The sequence below is a fragment of the Homo sapiens genome, chromosome 15 (assembly GCF_000001405.40).
Source record: "Homo sapiens chromosome 15, GRCh38.p14 Primary Assembly".
Lineage (NCBI taxonomy): Eukaryota > Metazoa > Chordata > Mammalia > Primates > Hominidae > Homo > Homo sapiens.
In genome coordinates, this window is record NC_000015.10 from 43,549,942 (window position 1) to 43,572,340 (window position 22,399).

Consider the following 22,399-nt stretch of genomic DNA (forward strand, 5'->3'; position numbering starts at 1 on the left):
GCCTGGGTGACAGAATAAGACCCTATCTCAGCAAAAAATTACTTTATAGAGACAAGGTCTTGCTATGTTGACCACACTGGTCTTGAACTCCTGGCCTCAAATGATCCTCCCGCCTTAGCCTCTCAAAGTGCCAGGATTACAGGTACAAGCCACTGAGCCCGGCCCACAAGATTTTTGTGAGTTGATCTTTCTTTTTTCTTTCTTTTTTTTTTGAGACAGGGTGTTGCTCTATCACCCAGGCTAAAGTACAGTGATGCGATCACCAGTCACTGCCACCTTGACCTCCTATGCTCAAGCCATCCTCCTCCCTCAGCCTCTCAATTAGCTGGGACTACAGGTGCGCACCAACATGCCTGGCTAATTTATTTATTTATTTATTTTTTTTGTAGAGAGAGTGTCTCCCTATGTTGTCCAGGCTTGTCTCAAACTCCAGGGCTCAAGTGATCCTGCCACCTCAGCTTCCCAAAATGCTGGGAACACAGGCGTGAGCCACTGCGCCCAGTCTGAGTTCATCCTGTAACCTGCAACTCTGCTAAATTTGTTCGTTAGCTTTAATAGCCGCTTTTTTATTGTTGTTTTCTTTTGAGACTTCTTTGTGATTTTATATTTGGGACCATGTCCTCTGTGAACAGAAATACTTTTATTTTTTCTTTTCCAATTTGGATATTTTTTTTTCCTTGCCTAAAACTCCTGGTACGAATGTTGAATAGCAGTGGTTGAAGCCGGCATTCTTGTCTTGTTCCAAATCTTAGAGGGAAAGCCTTCAGTGTTACACTACTGAGTATGATGTGTGCTTTGGCTTTCATAAATGCCCTTTATCATGTTCATTAAGTTCCCTTCTATTCCTAGTTTGCTGAGTGTTTTTATCATGAAAGGGTGTTGGATTTTGTCAAATGTTTTTCTGTGTCAACTTAGATGACTGTGTTTTTTTCTCTCTTTCTAATAATGTAGTGTATTACAATGACCAGTTTTCTTGTATTGAATCACTCTTGCATTCCTGAGATAAATCTCATCAGCCCTGGTGTATAATTCTTTTATTGTGCTGTCGGATTTGGTTTGCTAGCATTTTGTTCGGGACTTTTGCCTCTATAATTAAGGGATATTGGTTTCTTCTCCTATGGTGTCATCTGAAATGTGTTATCTGACCTCAAGAAAATGTTTCCTTCTCTTCAATTTTTTTGGAAGAGCGTGAGTAGACTGAGTTACTTCTTTAAATATGTGGTAGAGTTCACCAGTGAAGCCATCTGGTTTTAGACTTTTTGTTTTTTGGAGGTTTTTGTTACTAATCTTTTTTGGCTGGACGCAGTGGCTTACACCAGTAATCCCAGCACTTTGGGAGGCCAAGGCGGGTGAATCACTTGAGGCCAGGAGTTCAAGACTAGCCTGGCCAACACGGCGAAACCCCGTCTCTACTAAAAATACAAAAATTAGCTGGGTGTGGTGGGCAGTGCCTGTAATCCCAGCTACTTGGGAGGCTGAGGCAGGAGAATCGTTTGAATGTAGGAGGCAGAGATTGCAGTGAGCTGAGATGATGCCACTGCACTCCAGCCTAGGCAACAGAGCAAGACTCTGTCTCAAAAAAAAAAAAAACCCACAATAATAATAATAATAATTTAATTTTTTCCTTGTTACAGGTGTGTTTAGACTTTCTACTTCTTGATTCAGTTTTTTTTTTTTTTGAGACGGAGTCTCGCTCTGTCGCCCAGGCTGGAGTGCAGTGGCGGGATCTCGGCTCACTGCAAGCTCCGCCTCCCGGGTTCATGCCATTCTCCTGCCTCAGCCTCCCAAGTAGCTGGGACTACAGGCGCCCGCCACTACGCCTGGCTAATTTTTTTGTATTTTTAGTAGAGACGGGGTTTCACCGTTTTAGCCGGGATAGTCTCGATCTCCTGACCTCGTGATCCGCCCATCTCGACCTCCCAAAGTGCTGGGATTACAGGCGTGAGCCACCACGCCCGGCTCCTTTTGCTTTTTGAGTTTAGTTTACTCTTCTTTTTCTAGTGTCATAAAGTATAAATTAGATTATTGATTTCAGATTTTTTTTTTTTTTGAGACAGGCTGGAATGCAATGGTACAATCTCAGCTCACTGCAACCTCTCCCTTCCAGGCATAAGCTCTCCTCCCACCTCAGACTCCCAAGCACCTGGGATTACAGGTTTGCACCACCGCACTTGGCTAATTTTAAAGTTTTTCTGTAGAGATGAAGTCTCACTATATTGCCCAGACAGGTCTTGAACTCTTGGGCTCAAGCAATCCTCCCACTTTGGCCTCCCAAAGTGTTGAGATTACAAATGTGAGCCACTACACCTGGCCCTTCTTTTTTTAAATTTAAATATTTATAGCTATAAAGTTCTCTCTGAGCACTAATTTTGCTGCATCCCATACCATCTGGCATGTTTTCATTTTCATTCATCTCAAAGTATAATCTAATTTCCCTTGTGAGTTCTTCTTCGACTCATTTGTCATTTAAGAGTATGTTGTTGGCTGGGCGCAGTGGCTCATGCCTGTAATCCTAGCATTTTGGGAGACCGAAGCCAGCAGATCTCTTGAGCTCAGCCTGGGCAACATGGTGAAACTCTGTCTCTATAAAAAAAAAAAAAAAAAGAAAAAAAAAAGAAAAAAGCAAAAATTAGCTGGGTGTGGTGGTGTGTGCCTGTAGTCCAGCTACTCAGGGGGTGAGTAGCTGGAGGTCGAGGTTGCACTGAGCCATGATCGTACCACTGCACGCCAGCCTGGGTGACAGAGTGAGACCCTGTCTCAAAAAAAACAAAAAAAAAAAGTATGTTGTTTCACCCACAAAAATTAAAAATAAAAAAGGAGTCCAGGCGTGGTGGCTCACACCTATAATCCTAGAACTTTGGGAGGCCAAGGCAGGTGGATCACCTGAGGTCAGGAGTTTGAGACCAGCCTGGCCAACATGGTGAAACCTCGTCGCTACTAAAAATACAAAAATTAGTTGGGGATGGTGGCACGTGCCTGTAGTCCCAGCTACTCAGGAGGCTGAGGTGGGGAATCGCTTGAATGCAGGAGGTTGCAGTGAGCTGAGATCATGCCACTGCACTCCAGCCTGGACGACAGAGTGAGAATCTGTTTCAAAAAAATAAAAAAGAAAAAGAATATGTTGTTTAATTTCTATACTTGTGAATTTTCCAGTTTTCTCTTCTGTTATTAATTCTAGCATCATTCCATTGTGGTTGGAGAAGGTCTTTTGTATGACTTCAACTTTTTAAAATTTATAGATACTTGTTTTGTGGCCTAACATATGGTCTATCCTGGAGGATATTTCATGTACATGTGAGAAGCATCTGCATTCTGCAGTTGTTGGATGGAATGGTCTACATATGTCTGTTAGGTCGAGTTGGTTTGTAGTGTTCTATTTCCTTACTAATTTTCTTCTTCTTTTTTTTTTTTTAATAGAGACAGGATCTCACTCTGTCACCCAGGCTGGAGTACAGTGGCACAATCACAACACACTACAACAGCCTTAACTTCCTGGGCTCAAGGAGTCCTCTCACCTTAGCCCCTCGGATAGCTGGGACTACAGGCATGTGCCACCATGCCCAATTAAATTTTTAATTTTTTGTAGAGACAGGGTCTCACTATGTTACCCAGACTGGTCTCAGATTCCTGGGCTTAAGCGACACTCCTGCTTATCCTTTCTTGTCCTCCCAAAGTGCTGGGATTTCCTTACTAATTTTCTGTGTGTTTTTTTTTTTTTTTTGAGACGGAGTATCACTCTGTTGTCCAGGCTTGAGTGCAGTGGCGCGATCTCGGCTTATTGCAAGCTCCACCTCCCGGGTTCATGCCATTCTCCTGCCTCAGCCTCCCGAGTAGGTGGGACTACAGGTGCCCGCCACCACGCCCGGCTAATTTTTTTGTATTTTTAGTAGAGATGGAGTTTCACCATGTTAGCCAGGATGGTCTCAATCTCCTGACCTTGTGATCCACCCGCCTCAGCCTCCCAAAGTGCTGGGATTACAGGTGTGAGCCACCTCGCCTGGCCACTTCCTTACTAATATTCCGACGAGTTGTTCTGTCCATTATTAAAAGTGAGTATTGGCTGGGCACAGTGGCTCATGCCTGCAACAACAGCATTTTGGCCGAGGCAGGAGGATCACTTAAATCTAGGAGGTCAAGGCTGCAGTGAACTATGATCACACCACTCCAGCCTGGGCAACAGAGCAAGACTCTGTCTCTAAAAATAAAATAAATAAAAGTAGGTTTTGAAGTCTGCAACTACTATTGTAGAATTCTTCCTTCAATTCTGTCAATGTTTGTGTCATGTATTTTGGGGCTCCGTTATTTGGTATGTGTTTATAATTGTTTTATCTTCCAATAAATTGACCTCATTATCAATATATGACTTTCTCTTACTTGTAACAACTTTTTTTAAAGAGACAGGGTCTTGCTATGTTCCCCAGTTGGAGTACTGCTGGGCTCAAGCAATCCTCCCACTTCAGCCTCCCAAGTAACTAAGACTGCAGGTATGCACCTCTGCACCGCTCCTCTTGTAACAATTTTTTTACTTAAAGACTATTTTGTCTAATACTGGTATAGCTACTTCAGCTCTCTTTTGGTTACTATTTGCACAGAATATGTTTTTCTATCCTTTTACTTTCAACCTATTTGTGTCTTCGGACCTAATGTGAGACTCTTCTCAAATATAAGACACCTGGCATACACACACACACAGACACACACACACACACACACACACACGCAGGCACGCACAAGGAAAGGTGGAATCTGTTAGAAAACAAAACAACATGAGAGAATATTACTAAAATTACAGTTCAAGGTATAAGTTGGAAGTCTGTCTTATTAGACTTTTCATTTGTTTATAATTATAATTGATATTATAATTATAATTAAATATTGACATTGTTAGAGTAAATAATAATTTTTTTTTTTCAGATGGAGTTTCTCTCTTGCCATCTACGCTGGAGGCCAGTAGCACGATCTTGGCTCACTACAAGCTCCACCTCCCAAGTTCAAGCAATTCTCCTACCTCAGCCTCCTGAGTAGCTGGGATTACAGGTGCCTGCCACCATGCCTCGCTGATTTGTGTATTTTTTAGTAGAGACAAGGTTTCCCCATGTTGGCCAGGCTGGTCTTGAACTCCTGACCTCAAGTGGTCCACCCTCCTTGGCCTCCCAAAGTGCTGGGATTACAGGCGTGAGCCACCATGCCCAGGCGTTAAAAGTATAAACTATAAATTAATAAATTAAAAACACAAAACACTATTATATTTTCCTAAATCTTGATTGCTTTTCTTCTGCTCACCTTATTATAATAGTCTTTCAATTAGAAAACTGTTGGAGTTTTCTATTTTTATTTATTTATTTATGTTTTGAGACACGGTCTCAGTCTATCACCCAGGCTGGAGTGTGGTGGCACAATCTCGGCTCACTGCAACCTTCACCTCCCAGGCTCAGGTGATCCTCCCACCTCAGCCTCCCAAATAGCTGGGACCCCAGGTACATGCCACCATACCTGGCTAATTTTATTTTTATTTTTATTTTTTTGTAGAGGTGGGGTTTTGCCATGTTGCCCAGGCTGATCTTGAACTCTTGAACTCAAGTGATCTGCCAGCCTCAGCCTCCCAAAGAGCTGGGATTACAGGTGTGAGCCACCATGCCTGGCTGAATTTTTGTTTGTTTGTTTTTATTATTACCATTTTTTAGAGATGGAGTCTCGCTGTGTTGCCCAGGCTGGAGTACAGTGGCACGATCTCAGCTCACGCAACTTCTGCCTCCCCAGTTCTAGCAATTCTCCTGCCTCGGCCTCCCAAGTAGCTGGGACTACAGGTGCATGCCACCATGCCCGGCTAATTTTTTGTATTTTAGTAGAGACGAGGTTTCACCGTATCACCCAGGCTGGTCTCGAACTTCTAAGCTTGGGCAATCCACCCTCCTTGGCCTCTCAAAGTGTTAGGATTACAGGCGTGAGCCACCATGCCTGGCCTTAAAATTTTTACTTTAAGTAATATTCTATTTTCTATAAAAATATTTAAGAACAGCAAATTAGAAAATAAACCAATTCAACACTAAATAAATAAATAGAGTCTCTTGTGGACACTTTAAAAAGTGCATTCTGGGCCGGGCGCAGTGACTCATGCCTGTAATCCCAGCACTTTGGGAGATCAAGTCAGGCGGATCACGAGGTCAAGAGATTAAGACCATCCTGGCCAACGTGGTGAAACCCTGTCTCTACTAAAAAAATACAAAAATTAGCTGTGCGTGGTGGTGCGCACCTGTAGTCCCAGCTATTCGGGAGGCTGAGGCAGAAGAATCACTTGAACCTGGAAGGCAGAGGTTGCGGTTAGCCAAAATCGTGCCACTGCACTCCAGCCTGGCAACAGAGTGAGACTCCATCTCAAAAAACAGAAAAAAAGAAAAAAAAAGTGCATTCTGGCCAGGTGTTGTGGCTCACACCTGTAACCCTAGCACCTTTGGAAGGCCGAGGTGGGTGGATCACCCAAGGTCAGGAGTCCAAGACCAGCCTGGCCAACATGGCGAAATCCTGTCTCTACTAAAAATTCAAAAATTAGCCGGGCATGGTGGCACTCCAGCCTGGGTGACAGAATGAAACTCCATCTCAAAAAAAAAAAAAAAATGCATTCTGAGGCCAGGCACAGGTTGTTCATTTGCCTTACAATGTTTTTAAGGAATGCTCTCTGCACAGCCACTTTTCTGCCCTGAATAAGTTAGAGTTAGGCAAAACAAATGTAGGCACTTTGTGTCAATCCTTCAAGTAGCCCACCAACAAATTAGAACAGAGAAAATTCTTTGAGAATAAGGTCTTCTCCGCTCCCTCTGGAACCAGGAACCAGGGTCCTACATTGAGAACGTGGGCTGTCATCTTCAAGAGCACAACAAAGCCAGGGAGGCAGGGTGGGGCAAGAGTGAGTAAAAATGCTGCAAAGCTTTTCTGCCATTTTTAGGTTGCCTCTTTCTGGATTCAGCATTTTCCTGGTTACTGAAAATCTTTTACTATTCTCCAGAGTTCTCACAATGTTGGTTCTAGCAGTTTTTTCTTACTTTTTGGTGTTTCTGTGGATGAACAAGCCCTTGGAGCTACCTACTTAACACATGATTTAATTTTTACGTTTAGATTTCCGATCCATATGGAGTTTATCCTGGTATACAGTGTGGGTTCAATTTCAATTTTTGTCAAATGCCTATTCAATTTACCCCCCGTCCATTTACTGAAAAGTCTTTCTGGCTGGGTGTGGTGGCTCACACCTGTAATCCCAGCACTGTGGGAACCCAAGGGGGGGTGGATCACCTGAGGTCAGGAGTTCAAGACCAGCCTGGGCAACATGGCAAAACCCCATCTCTACTAAAAATACAAAAATTAGCCAGGCATGGTGGCTTGTCCCTGTAATCCCAGCTACTCAGGAGGCTGAGGCAGGGAGAACTGCTTGAACCCAGGAGATGGAGGTTGTAGTCAGCTGAGATCCTGCCACTGCACTCCAGCCTGGGTGACAGAGTGAGACTCTGTCTCAAAAAAAGTCTTTGTGTCACACCTGTAATGCCAGTGCTTTGAGAGGCCAAGGCAGGAGGATCGTTTGAGCCCAGGAGTTCTGGGCTGCAATAAGCTACGACTGCAAAAATCAAAACTAAAATGAGATTTTATAGAATGATTTAAAATGTGGTAGGGCTAGTATTTGCTCACTGCTCTTCTTTTCAGGGTTTTTTCTCTCTCTCTTCTCTTTCTCTCTCTCTCTCTCTCTCTTTTGTGGTAACATCTTGCTCTGTCCACCCAGGCTGGAGCGCAGTGGCGTGATCATAGCTCACTGCAGCCTTGAACTCCTGGGTTCAAGTGATCCTCCCGTTTCAACATCCCAAGTAGATGAGACTACAGGCACACACCACCATGCATAGCCTTTTTTTTTTTTTTTTTTTCTGGAGAGATGGGGGTCTCACTATGTTGCACAGGCTAGTCTTGAACTCCTGGACTCAACAATCCTCCTGCCTCAGCCTCTAGAGTTGCTGGGATTACATATGTGAGCCACTGCACCCCACTCATTCTTCACTGTTCTTGGTTGTGTATTTTTCAATGAAAACTTTAGAATTCAGGAGTGATATTTCTATGATGTTTAGTTGGCCTATGCAATTATCCTTTTTTTTTTTTTTGAGATGGAGTCTCGCTCTGTCACCCAGGCTGGAGTGCAGTGGTGCGATCTTGGCTCATAGCAATCTCCGCCTCCTGGGCTCAAGCAGTTCTCCTAGCCTCCCAAGCAGCTGGGACTACAGGCACACACCAACATGCTCAGCTAATGTTTGTATTTTTTTTTTTTTTTGAGATGGAGTCTCACTCTGTTGCCAGGCCGGAGTGTAGTGGTGTGATCTCGGCTCCCTGCAACCTCTGCCTCCCAGGTTCAAGCGATTCTCCTGCCTCAGCCTCCTGGGTAGCTGGGACTGCAGGCGCACACCACCGCACCCAGCTAATTTTGGTATTTTTAGTAGAGGCAGGGTTTCACCATATTGGCCAGGATGGTCTCCATCACTTGACCTCGTGATCCACCCGCCTAGCCCTCCCAAAGTGCTGGGATTACAGGCATGAGCCACTGCGCCCGGCCTTATTTTTTTTCAGTAGAGACAGGTATCGCCATCTTGGCCAGGCTTGTCTCAAACTCCTGACCTCAGGTGATCCACCTGCCTCGGCCTCCCAAAGTGCTGGGATAACAGACATGAACCACTGCGCCCAGCCAGCAATTATACATTTTTAAGTGTACTTTTGTGTCTTTGTGGATTGCCTAACTAGCTTTCTAATTTACTACTTTCTTATATTCTAGGAAGCATGGGCATGGGGGCAGAGAGAAGGGTAAAAAAATAAGAATATCCCTACCTGCAGATGCCTGTGCCTGGGCATCAGTGTGGCGCTGGCAGACTCTACTCAAGAATTCACTCACTTGACGTAGGGAAAGGGCATTATGCAGTGTTTCCAGAGGGTAGATGGTAGGCACCATGGAACACCCTTCAAACCCTGTTTGAAAAGAGATGGGCAAAGTCAATGTTACTCCTGCCAGATATACCCCAACTGGCCAAGGAAGCATGGAGAGTCCCTGAGAGCCATCAGGAGAGTCCGTGGCTTTTGGAGTGTTGGGTATCCAAGACTCTTAGGAGAGGGAACTCTTTAGAGCCCCTAGGGAGTCTGTTTTTCTCACCTTCAGATTTCCTAAAACATCTACCTGCTAAGGCCTCAAGGTGAATCAAATCACCTTTCATGCTACCTATGGAGAGCTTGCAATGTCTCATGGAAAAATAAACAGAATCCCAGTAGGGTAGGCACCAACGTTGTTCTCACACTTTCTAGGGGAATAAAACAAGGATCCAGAGGTAAGGGGTGAAACTGCAGATCTAACATGAGATAGGGAGGTCAGGGAGCTGGGAAGAAACAGCAGATTTTGGGTATCATGAATAAGAGAACCAGATTAAGGAGAAGGACATGGAATCTGAGAAGGGGTTCATGCAAATTTAGGATGTCGGCAGAAAGGCTAGAATACTTGGATGCAAACTGGAGGGCATGCAATACACATGAAGCTCAGCCCAGGAAAACCACATGCATGAACAGGATGGGGATGGGAGTTCTTTCTTGGTAATTTCCATCACATCAAAGCTTCACTCTTCTGATCTACTGGAAAACCCCAGACTTGCTAGGGTCTTTCTACTTCATCAGAAAAATGAGGCAAATGCCCTAGAAAAAAGAAAAAGTACTGATTCTCTGCTCTAAACCCAAGAATTCCAATGTAGGTCTATCAGTCTGGGTAGGGTCAAGGATAAACATAAATATGTAACCCTAATACTAGGGACTGGTGATGGAAAAAATGTCCCCATTGGAGGATGAAGAAAAACACATCCAAACCACTATCTCAGTCCCCAGTCTTTCCTATGCCTCTTCAACATCTCCTTAAAGGGACTAAGGATACACGGGACAACGAAGTCTATGCAAGACAGCTTCCTGTTCACCAGTGACTAAAGCCCGTAACTCAAAAGGATTATAGCCTGACCATCTTCGAAGCTCTGGACTTTGCCCCAAGGATACAATTGAGGCTTCTGTGCCTCAATTTCTCCCATGATCTAGTGGCAGGAGGGCAGGAAAGTTACTGTCTCTAGCTCCTCAGAGTGGCTAGAAAAACATTTGGATTTGAAGATGGTGGTAGTAGAGGGTTAGAGTGATAAGAACAGATTCCAAGGCAAGAGATTACTCCTGTATTGAACAGAACTGGGGAATGAGTAACATTAGGGGGTGGTGAGAAAGGAGAATAGGAAGGGGATGAGCAGCCAATGCTACAGCTACCAGGCAGTCTGGCCCCAATCCCATCCAAGTGACTAAATGCAAGTTACATAAACTTAGGGCAAATAGGAGAAAGAAATAGGTGGGCTCTCCTGCCAGAAGTGCAATAAGCAAAGCAGTCAGACCCAGCCAGGGTAGTGGCAGCAGCCAGTTTGGTGGCAGGGGGTACCGTAGAGGCACTCGGGGTCATCCTGGCCTGAGCGCAGCCAGTTCCGGAAGAGGCGCAGGTGGTAGGAGCACTGGTGCAGGTGATGCGCCAGCGTGGCATCCAAGGAGACTGGCCGGCCCCCTGTACAGTCAGAGGAAAAACTGCGCAGCAACCGGACCACAGGGTGCTGGTCATCCAGCAGCTCTGGACGGGGTGAGGGGACCACGGCAGGAAGCACAAAGATAGAGAAAGAGAAGAGGGAGAGACAATGAGGGGGGCACTGACTAGCACAAGCATTACTGGGAGGTGGGGGCACTCAGATCCAAGGTGAGCTAAGAGAGAAGCAGAGATGGTCAGAGCCACTGGGCATCTCTTGCAGGGAAGAACAGTGGTGTCATCATACAATGAGTCTGAAAGAAGGGATAAGTGAGATCTCATCATACAGCAATGCCTTCCCCTTGCTCCTTGAGCATAATTCCGTCAGTGCTTGTAGACATCAGTCACATCATTGTGAACAGGGGTGAGCTGGCAGTTTTGCGGCTGGGAGTCTTGACTGCAGCTTCAGGATCCCTCATCATTGGATGAACCCTACTTAGGGCCTGCATTCTCAGGTGAATGGATTTATGTAGTAGGGATAAAAATGAAAAAGTGATGGTATTGTGTATCAAGACAGTCAAGCTAAAAAGGCTCTCTTTTAGGGCAGGCCTTCTGGACCACACTCTAAGATAGCTGAAGACAGGAATGGTATTAGGCAGTTGGCACAGGAGACTGGCAGGAAACCAGGTGTAGAACTCCTTTAAAACGGTATGTGTGGAAAATGGAATCAGTATGTGAAAATACCAATATTGACTAACCATCCTGTACCTTACTGTTGTTTAAACAATCAGTTAAAAAAAAAAAGTACACTAAAACTCCGGACTTAGAGATACTGTATCCATTACACAAGCTGAAAGTTAGATAATTTTATATTTTCTTCCCACTGCTGGTGAGTCTAACTGCACTTTTTTCAGCTGGTGAGTGGAAAAGCTTTGATTCTGAACCCCTCATTTTAGCTACTTGGCAAACTTTGTGGATGATGTAATTCAGCTACAAAAGGTTGAAGGCAGTCAAAGCCATGTGGAGAGGGGTGTAAGAGGAACAATAGTGAAAAGATCTTAGAGAAAAGATATGGGATCTTAAGACATGATGTGAGGATGGACAAGAACTTGAGTACAGGATGTTGGTATAGAGAAGGTAGAAACAAGGCAGCTCAGGATGACTGCTCAAAACTCCCAGACCAGAACTGGCTCCACAAGGTGATCCCATGAGACTGTGGTCTTCAGAGACCTTAGCTTGGATGTCAGGACAGATTTCAGCTCTACCTAGGCTAGTCTTGTGAGCACTAACTGTATATACCAATGGTCACATAGTTATATGGGTCCCTAGAAGATAACGGGCTTGACAAATCCAGTGGTCACACCCTGACATTCTGGATGAGCGTGAGCCACAGTCTTTCCCACTTTATTAATTTACTTTGGTGAATTCAGTGTGCAGCTTAGTAACAGGCTATACTTGTGTGCTGGATATAGTTACAGGATATAAGAGCAGCTTATTAGGAACAAAGGCAGAGAAAGGCTGAGGGCTGCTCTCCCATCAAAGTGTGAAGACACACTGCCTTGCCTCTTTTCCAAAGCCAGGTCCAGTATTTCCAGCTGCTGTTTCAAAGCCAGATATCATGGCAAGGAGATGGTGATGACGGAGCTGCTGTGACTTACCTGCAACTACAGACAAAACATCCACTTTGTAATTGCTGGTCAGTCAAGCAAGATCTTGGCCATGGAGAAGAGCCTTCATATTTCTTGAGGGTCAAATTGAATCTAGATAATCTTCCTCAGCAAGTGACATACAGCTCCAAATTTCTCCTATTGTCAACAGGTAGAGCCCAGATTCTGGCTTCTTAAGCATGTTAGCCTCCAAGCTCCAGCACAAGAAAAACAAAGGAGGCCACAAGGCCCCTGAGGAAGTGTGCAGGGCATTGGAGATCTTAAATTTGTTTTCCTGCACAACACCTGCATTTTCCAGCTCTTTTTTCCTCAACTCCTTTTAGCAGAATTAAATCTTCTTCAACGGGTGAGGCTGCTGAACAGTACTTCGGGGAATTGGAGGTACATACGTCTGAGGGTCTGTTTAATGGACTTGGGTCTTTTCTCATGGCACTTAAGAACTAGGAGATACGTGATTTAGCTCTGATTTCAGGAGCCCACGTTCCTTGTACTATATTGTGGACCCTAAGTCCAAGTCCCAGGCTATGCTATTCATGCATCAGGTTCTATTCTGGAGATGGCTGTGGCACATGAAGGCCAGAAGAGCTTGAAGCTAAATGAGCCGGCACACCCATGAGGCTCTGAACGGGAACTCCTGCCACAGGCACAATTGGGAGCCTGGGGGCAGGGATAAACTGAGCCAGCATAGGCTGGTCAACCTAGGGAGAGATTTCAGCAGTGCCTTGTGAAGATGTACAACCTGACTGGGCTAAAATCTAGCAGCTGTCACTTGCTAGCCAATAGGAGATTAGCACGTAGAGGTTTTCTAGTCAGGAAGCCAGCCTAGTTTTACTTCCCTCAGAGAGTCTTAGCTCTTGAATAGAAGAAAACCATACCTAAAAAACCTAGATTTACCCTGAAGACAAAATATAATACAGAGAGACAAATAAGGATACCAAGGATAAAACTTTGAAAGAGAGTGAGCCTGGGTTCTCCTGCTATACCCTACAAAGAGACCATACCCTTCAATTTATGGTTTACAGAGATCTCCAAGCTCTCCCACCTTAGTGTGGGCAGACCCAGTTCTTCAATGTTCTTAAAATATTATTCCTTCCTAAGCTCCCCCAGAATCCCCAGCAGACATCTCCACTCTTCAAACTTCTCTGCAATAGCTTTATCATAGGTAGGCTGGTGCCACATGGAAACTACACTTAAAAACTCAAGGTACAGTCCTTTTTCTTTTACCTACTACCTCCTACTCCTTTCTTTTTATTTTTATCCCAAAGCAACCTGGGCTCTTGTTTTCTAGGCCCAGGCAATAGGTTAGTAGTAACATAAAGCAAATGTCAGGAGCACAAGAGCCACACAAAATACACATAATGACAGGAGAAAGAAATACGGAGATGGGAAACTATATACTCAAGACTAACACCCATATAAGTAGGCTTAGGAGCTGGGAACTGCAGCATTGCTCCGAAAGAGGAACAAACTAGTCATCCACATCCACCCCAACAAGAGTTGGAGAAAACACAGAAAGATCAAAGTTATATCAGCTGAGGAATTGGGGGTATGGGGGAAGAGAAGAAATGGAATCAATCTAGGAAACACTATTCCCATCCTAAGAAGGGGAACCATCATATCTGTACACAGCCTGGCAGTCATGTGATAGGAAAGGGAGAGGTTTAATCAGTGTTTTGGTGGTGATGCTGACAAAAGTGACATAATGGTGATGATGGTGACTATGGAATTAAGACCCTGAGTTGCAGGGATGGGGCAGCCAGGCTGCAGCCAAGACTAAGGCTGTCACAAGGAAACCATCCCAGGAGGGACACTTAGTGAGTGACTCATTCAGAGACAGCAGGGTGTCAACACAGTGGAAGGAGAGGCAAAGTCAGTGTCGAAACTCAGAGTTAAGTGTCTAGAGGTGACATGGTGAGGAGGAATGACATTGAGTCAGAAGCAAACGTACCGTTAGTCGGATGCTTTGCAAACGACACAGAAAATCGTTTTACGGCCGGGACAAACAAGAGCTCTGGGGAGAAAAGACATCATGGGGATTATACCCACCCTTGTCCCCACCCTCTGCTCTGGAGTTTGCCCGCAAGATATTCTGTTCTTTAAAGTTAGTTATCTGACCTGCTCCCCTCCCCATCCCTTGGATTTCTAACTAACACACGTCAATCTCTTTTCCTTTGATAAATCTCTTAGGAATCAATGTGTCATCTCTACCACAATACACCCCTACAAACAACCCTAATTTTACCACTGTGTCTTCTTTCTGGTCATTTGGAAATAAAATCTTCACAGAAATATTCATCCCTTCCCCTAGTCTCTTTCCACATTATCTTTTCTCCCTTGGTTGAGTAACATTCCCTTCCCTAAACCCAATTTGCTGGATTTTAATCGAGGTTCCACCACTTTCTTCCCAACTATGCATCATCCTCCTTGGTCCTTACCCCTACAGGCCAGAATCCAGGAAAGAGTACAAACTGATGCAGCAGGACTGTATGTGGGAGATTATGAAGGGATAAGCATAAATAAGTAGTATTTTTATGGCAAGAGGAAATGCAAATGGAGGGGTGAAAGGGGTCCTGGTTCCTTCTCCCATCTATTACTGATGAAGAAAACTTGTTATAAGGCCAGTGTCATCTTAAGCATGAATAGTTCTTGAGCTATGTCCTTGCTGAGAGACAAGTGAAAAAAGGAGTTATCCCCCAAAACCCACCCACATACCATCTCGGTGCTTCAGACTGGCAGGTGGTAGCTTTTTGCCATGGCTGCGGGCGTAGTCCTGAAGATTCGGGGCACTGGAGGAGCCACCCAGCACTGTGGTGCTGAACAGCCCTGTGCACTGTGAGCCTGCAAGGCCGGGAGTGCGTTAGTAGCCACGTAAAGCCACAACTATCACACAGAACTATACACAACTTCACATGATAACATCAAGACACACATGCAGCCATTCAGAGCCACCACCATGTGGCCATTCCACATAACCACAAATGGCTTTACACTTCTCCATAGTCACAGTGGGCAAGCAAAAGGGGGATTCTTCTGAAGAGCTACATGGCAGAAACAACAGGCCACTACAAATGCAGGGTTAGTCATATTAGGGGATTCAAAGCTACTGGAAGGGATAGACTGTGCTCTTCAGGTGGCTCTCAGAAATGCCAAAATAACAGGTAGGTCCCTCTAGATTCCCCTCAGATTTAATTCGGCACCCCTTACCCTGGATATATAGCTTGAGAAACCCAGAAATCTAGTCCTTGTATATTTGAAAGGAAAAGGCTTTGACTGAAGCTAGAGACTATATTCTGAACACTCAGCTGGCACCCTTCCAATCCTTCCTAAGTTTTTCATCCAACATCCCCTCCCTTCAGGCCTTTTGACCTTTCCCAAGAATGAAAGTATGAGGCTCACAATTTTTTTTTTTTTTTAAGACAGGGTCTCACTCTGTTGCCCAGGCTGCAGTGCAGTGGCACAATCATAGCTCACTGCAGCCTTGGTCTCCCAAGCTCAAGTGATCCTCCCATCTTAGCTTCCCAAGTAGCTGGGATTGCAAGTACACACCATCATGCCTGGACAATTTTTTTATTTTTAGTAGAAATGAGGTCTCACTATGTTGCCCAGGTTGGTCTCTAACTCCTGAGCTCAAGTGATCCTCCCACCTTGGCCTCCCATAGTGCTGGGATTATTGGTGTGAGCCACAGCCCCCTGCCTCATTGAATTTTTTAAGCTAGAAGGGACTCATAGATCATCCAGTCCAACTTTCTTATTTTAGAGATGAAGAAACTGAGATCCAAAAGGGACCTCCTTTGCTCAAGGTCACATAGTTTTTTAGAAGCTAAGCTGGACTAGAATCCAGGTCTCCTGACTCTGAGGACCAACTGTATTGTTAGAAAATAAATAACTATTTTTTTTTAGGAACCAGCAGTTTCTAAAGTCAAGATGGACACAAATTGAAGGGCATGTGAAGAATCAGTTGATTATATGTAGAGCATGCCTATTATGTGAGGAGCACCCTACTAAGAAGGAATACAGGAAATAACAACAAAAAGACATGTTTGTTCTGCTTGCAAAAGTGTATTATCATGTAAGCCTATGCTCAAAGCCAGTTGCCCACACATATAAATTCTAAGAAAACAAAGAGAATTCCATTGCCAATGAGAGGATTAAATAAAATCTGAATAATCTCTGAAGTATGAAATAAATCAGACCAGTCACTGTCCCCAACAGCTGATCTAGAGGAGGGTTAGGACTCCACGGTCCCTTCTCCTACTATAGCCTATAAGGACAGAGTGGTCAAGAAGAAACAAGACTGATACCCAAGTTCTCAGGATTTGCCTCTCTACTTCCAAATCCATCTTAGCCAAGACCCTGGGTTTGGCTTGGGACTTAACATTCATAGGGGAAATGGATGGAGTGGAAAGGAGTTCAATTCCCTTGAGGCCACCAAGAAGGGACCATGGTTTCAGGGGTCCCAGGATTTCGGGGTCACCAGAGCAATCAGGAAGTTCAGATGCCTGATGATTCCCACCCTGGAATTCAGGACCTCTCCCCTATACAGCAACTTCCTCCACCTTTCATGTTCAAACAGGCTCTGGAATGAGATTCCAGAGAGTAATAACAGTTGCTAAATATGACTGCTTTTCTTCAGAGAAGCTAAAACTAGCTGGCTCTATCCCAGACCACCCCAAGCTTTGTCCTACATACACTTCCTCCACTGAATACTTTTCTGGTGCAGTCATGCCAACTCTGTTCTGCCCAGTCCTCAGATCATCTCAGAGGGTGGTCTCTACCTTACCACCACCATCTGCCAACCAGTTCCATGTCCATACCTCTGCCTTGCTCTTGAAAGCATTCCCACGGCCCACTTAACTGGGACAGACACACCTATCCTCTTTTCTAGTCTGTCTGAAACCTATTCTTTACTGGGACTTCTGGGAAGAGAGGTTCATTTCTTAGATCTACACTATTGTTGTTTCGGGTTTTTTTTTTTTTTTTGAGACAGAGTGTCACTCTGTCACCCAGGTTGGAGTACAGTGGCACAGTCTCAGCTCACTGCAACCTCCATCTTCTGGGTTCAAGCAATTCTCGTGTCTCAACCTCCCAAGTAGCTGGGATTACAGGCATGCGTCACCATGCTCAGCTAATTTTTGTATTTTTAGTAGAGATGGGGTTTCACTATGTTGGCCAGGCTAGTCTCAGAACTCCTGACCTCAAGTGATCTGCCTTCTTTGGCCTCCCAAAATGCTGGGATTATAGGCATGAGCCACTGCGCCTGGCCAGATCTACACACTTGTCATTTATTTCTCATGCCCCATACCATCTTCCTCATTTCAGGAATCTAGAAGGCAACTTATTCTCATAAAATTAGCCTGGAAAGTTACCAAAACCTTTCTCCCCCTTGCTAGTCCAAAAGCTGACCATTTTGGGGCCAAGAAAATGGCTGCCAAGGACAAAGGCAACAGAACAATTAGAGGCGCTAAATAGAGAGAATAATAGGACAAGACAGAAACAGCCAGAGGACCAAGACCAGACCCCACACAACCATGTCTGACCTCCAGTTCTAATTACTGGCTCACAAGGCACTGTGCTCAGAGATAGTTCCTCCCAAGGACTGCCCCCCACCCAAAGAATACAATACCCTCTGAGGCTTGGTCCTTCCTGCCGTCTGTGCTCTTAGAAAAAGCTGAGTGATGTTCTCTACCCCTTTCCAGGGATCCAAAAATCAAGAGACATTTCCTCAAAGTCCTGAGAGATGCCTCTGCCACTACACCAGTCTCAGACTGGTCAATTTTCCAGAAGGAAGGGGAAAAAGTTACAGGATTAGGAGATGATGGAGGAAAGGGCAAGGTGGTAAGAAGGGCAAGAGCGGGGATGTGAAAAACACAGGTTTCAGGGGAAGACGTGGCACATTTCTTCAAATGAGGAATACGACATTTATGAGGGTTGCAAGTACCTCTATTTATAGCTCTGTCTTTGATAACTCTGAAGGTTCAGAGTCTCCATGGCCCCTTAAGGTCTGGGCTAGACTGGAGGGACAGATAAGGAATGAGAGGGAAAGCCAGAAAAACGCCCTTTGGCCAGGGAAATGTGGTTGGTATAGAAAACCAAGAGATAAACACCTTCCTGGGATGGAATAATCATCTGAGATCCAAGTTCACATCTAACTATGGCTTCTCCCACTTCATCCTCCCTACCTCCACCTGATGATATTCCACTGATTGGACGGTCCCAAATCCCATGACAAAGGTTTCCCACAATAAAACTCTGAAGAACAGACAGACAACTTTTCCAACAATAGGTGAGAAATGCTGGCAAAACCATACCTAGGCCACTCTGCTTCATTTCTGTGGGTGGCCGTGAAGATGAAAAGAGCCGGTAGCCACCAGGCCTCGAGGATGAAGTCTCAGAAAGTACCTGCAGAAAAAGGACTCTATATTAATCATTTTGCCACCTCAACCCCAAAGTATAAAACTCAGGTCCTGGATTCCTGTCCCTACAAAGCCAAGCAATGTTAGAAAGTTTGGAAGTACCAAAGGATTTATAGGGGAAGAGGGATGAAAAGGGAACAGAGAATGTACTTTATGGAGGGAACTGTCCGGGGCATCTTTCTATACTAGAAGGCACTTCTATTTTCAAGATGCCTTTCCCCACAGCCCTCCCATTCCCAATCTGAGTTTGAGAAATCATTATTCAACCCATTCCTAGTTCTCAGCAGAGCAGAGTTTCCTAATTGTATCTATCCCCCCACAGACTCAGAAAGCCAATCACAATGGCTCAGCCACAGATAAGAGTCTGGCCACCCTCTCTTCTTTGCATGGGAGAGCTGTGGCTACTGCAACCATACTACATTCCTTGTTAGAACCAAGAAGCCCACCCCTCCACTGTCTCACCCCTAGAAACATGAAACAGAATTTTTACAATGCCCACAAGGGCCCAATCACACAACCCCCAAAACACACACATCCCACCCAGATAGTGTCTGAGCCCCTAGATCCCAAAAGGCAAAGACAGAAGGCAAGACAGGAAGGTGAGGTAGGGAGGGACACCTGTGTGCAGGATGCCAGGTGAGTGGTGGACACAGCCCGGGGCTGTAGGCCAATGGCTAGGGAAGGCTGGGGGAGGTCTCCCGACCTCCTGCAGCGCCGTCCCCGCAAGGGGATGAGGTCCAGGTTCCCCGTGCACTGCATGTTCATGACCTGCAATCAGACCGGGTGGAAAGCCGGTCACGGCTCCTTTAAACCCCAGGCTCCCAAAAGCCCCAGGGCCCACAGGGCAGAGCTAGTTACAGGGCTAGAGAGGATGACCAGCTAGGGCATAGCTGCTATAAAGGTCGTAAGTTTTATAATCTAAAATAGTTAAAAAGTATGAGATGACAAGAGGAGAAGAAGGGATGGAGGGAAGGATAAGTTGTATGCCTATATTTATAGAGCAAGGAAGATAAACATTAACATTAGTATCATAAGGCTTTGTGACCAAGGAGCAGAGAGATGATTTTCTTGCAAAGCTGAGGAAAATATCCTGGACAACCATCACCCTGGATAAGCCAGGGTCTAAGCAGCACTAGTAATTGAAAAGAAAGCCTGTGATTACAATAGGAAGCTTCCCATAGGCCTGAAAGAAGTCAATCTTATCAAGTCTGAGAGATGATACACAGAGCTTTCCTTTACCTGTGCCTTTTTTTTTTTTCCATCTTATAATGTTTTAAAATTTTTTGTAGAGACAGGATCTTGCCATGTTGCCCAGGCTGGTTTTGAACTCCTGGCCTCAAATGATTCTCCCACTTAGGCTTCCCAAAGTGTTGGGATTACAGGTGTGATCCACCACACGCAGCTGTCTATGTCTTATGACTGCATAAACCAGAAAAAAATGGTTGGGGGATGGGGGACGCGGTTCAGGCACAACAGCACCAGGAGAGACTAGCAGACCATGTGAATAGGAAAGACATTTGGAGGATCAGTTTATTGATGGAAGATTATGTATCATTCTATCCATGTGATCTATTGGATGTGAGTATAAAGGGTAATAGAGTACTACGGATACCAACCGACACCTACACCTCAAAGAGAAAATAATGTATATCCTACCTAAAGAAACTCTGCATATTACCAATGGCAATTTCACCTTAAAATAATCAGGAAGTAAAGGATGAATCAAAAGAAGAGACTGCAGTTCATCTTCTCAGCTTTCTCCAAAATCTGAATTGCAAAACTTTTGCTGAACCTAGGTCAGCTTGTTATAGATTCTTCTGATATATCCCTAAAATGGAAAAACCAATTCCTCTAAGATAGAGACCTGGCACCGAGCCAGGGTGAACACGGTCATTAGGACAGAGCAGAATCTAAATCAGACAGTCAAAGTCTCTGAGACAGGGATAAATTGTGGTGTCAAAATGAATGTAAGTGATACAGAAAGAGCAAGATAGGGGAAAAAAAAAAAGGATATAATTAGGCCAAAGACAGAAACAGTTTTTCCAGGAAAAAGACCAAAACAAAAACCTCAGATGGTTAGCTGGACACAATATGAGATTAATAACACTTACTGCCTTTAGGCTAGAGAGCTAGAACCAGAACTAGAAACAACCTCCAAGAACAGCAGAATATAGGCCCATGCTGATAAAGATCCTCATTAGAACAAGAGGAAGACAGACAGAGCTCTTGACTGACCCACTTTCTGGAATGACAGTACAGATAAAGTGCCAGGTATTTGCTCCTATCTGAGCTATAATTTTTACCCAAGGTGACCAAGAGCTGGAGAGGGCTGGACCTTTAATATCAATTGCATTGTTAATATATTACTGCTTGTTGAGCATCTATAAAGTGGATACTACTCACATTTTAGAGGTGAAAAAAAATTGAGGCTTAGAGAAGTTAAGGTCAGAGAAATGTAGAGAAGTTACCCAGCCAAAGTCACACAGCTTCCAAGTATTACACTGGGATTTTGGCCCGGAGTTCAAGCTGTTTCCACTAGATTTCCTTTTAAAGAACTACCTTTTCAAATTCATCCAGAGGCCTCCTCCTTAATCTTATCTCTTTAAACCCTTATCTCTCAGGCATCCCTCAATGGCAACTCTTTAATCTGAGAAGTAGCAACCAGTTAAAGAAGCACTACTGGGAGACCAGCTGTGAAAGAGAGATTAAGTAAAACATATCAATCAGAGCAGGAGGACTCTGCTTCAAGTCCCAAGAGACCCCCCAAGGGGATCTAGTGGATCTGTGGATATAGTCCTATGAGCACTGCCACCCCTTCATTTCTTCCCAAGGCCCTCTCATTACCTCCATGGAACCAGCTTTTCGGTTACGAATGAGGGGTGATCTCCTCGGAAGGCCAGGGCCCTCAGGAGGCTGGGGTGAAGTCTGCAATGCCCGGTCTGGTTCATCTGATGCCTTTCCTGGACACAGGTTCTCCATACTGCCTTGGTTGGTTTTCATCTCCTCATTCTATACAACAAAAGGCAGATAAGAGAGGTGTTAATGGCCTCCAAAATCCTAATCCCAGACTACCTAGCCCTTTTACTTCTCCCTGTACTGCTTCCCACCACTTGGTTCCTAAGTCCTTCAGTCCCAAATCCCAGCACTCTGACCCACCTCAGAAGAGGCTGGACGGAATCCACAGCCAGCCGGGGCACTGCCTTCTTCCTCAACACCTTTCACTCCGGGGCTGAAGTGTAGCTCCACATGGAACCGTTCCTCTGATAAGGGATCCTATGGAGCATAACCACAAGAGGGGGAAGTTGGGAGAAGCTGGATATTGTGGTGGAAGTAGAGAGGAACTCAAGGGGATTCATCCTCCCAGGAATTCAGGGTCTTGTCCCACTCCGGGGCTGACCTGTTATAGCTTCCTTTCAACTATATATTGTCTCTTACAGGATCCTCATTCCCTCATCTCTACCATTTGTGATTTCACCATTGCACATGACTTCTGAACTTCCAGCTTTACAACGCTTCCCATCACCTTCCACAATAACTCAGCTTGGCTGTGGTGCATATAGCAGAACATTTAAAGATACCTTGTGGGCCAGGAGCAGTGGCTCACACCTGTAATCCTAGCACCTTGGGAGGCTGGGACAGGCAGATCACTTGAGTCCAGGAGTTTGACACCACCCTGGGCAACATGTTGAGACCCTATCTCTACAAAAAATTAGCCGGGCATGGTGGCACATGTCTGTCATCCCAGCTACTTGGGAGGCTGATGTGAGAGGATC

At 45.0% G+C, this 22,399-nt stretch overlaps 1 protein-coding gene across 56 annotated transcripts in view; it reads right to left on the minus strand.

Annotated features, from left to right (window-relative positions):
- Positions 1-22,399, minus strand: part of PPIP5K1 (diphosphoinositol pentakisphosphate kinase 1) — a 56,779-nt gene that overhangs the window by 16,467 nt on the left and 17,913 nt on the right. For 16 of the 56 annotated variants that reach the window (XM_047433387.1, NM_001354391.2, NM_001354398.2 and 13 more), the window contains 5 exons: positions 21,783-21,899; positions 21,471-21,635; positions 18,522-18,612; positions 14,926-15,051; positions 8,854-8,991 (listed from right to left, as the gene is read on the minus strand). In XM_047433387.1, coding sequence (XP_047289343.1) covers positions 8,854-8,991; positions 14,926-15,051; positions 18,522-18,612; positions 21,471-21,635; positions 21,783-21,899 — 637 coding nt within the window. Of the gene's footprint in view, positions 1-8,853; positions 8,992-10,471; positions 10,655-14,161; positions 14,225-14,925; positions 15,052-18,521; positions 18,613-19,244; positions 19,395-21,470; positions 21,636-21,782; positions 21,900-22,399 lie in introns of all 56 variants that reach the window. The other 40 variants (XM_047433384.1, XM_047433381.1, NM_001354384.2 and 37 more) reach the window with 6 other exon arrangements.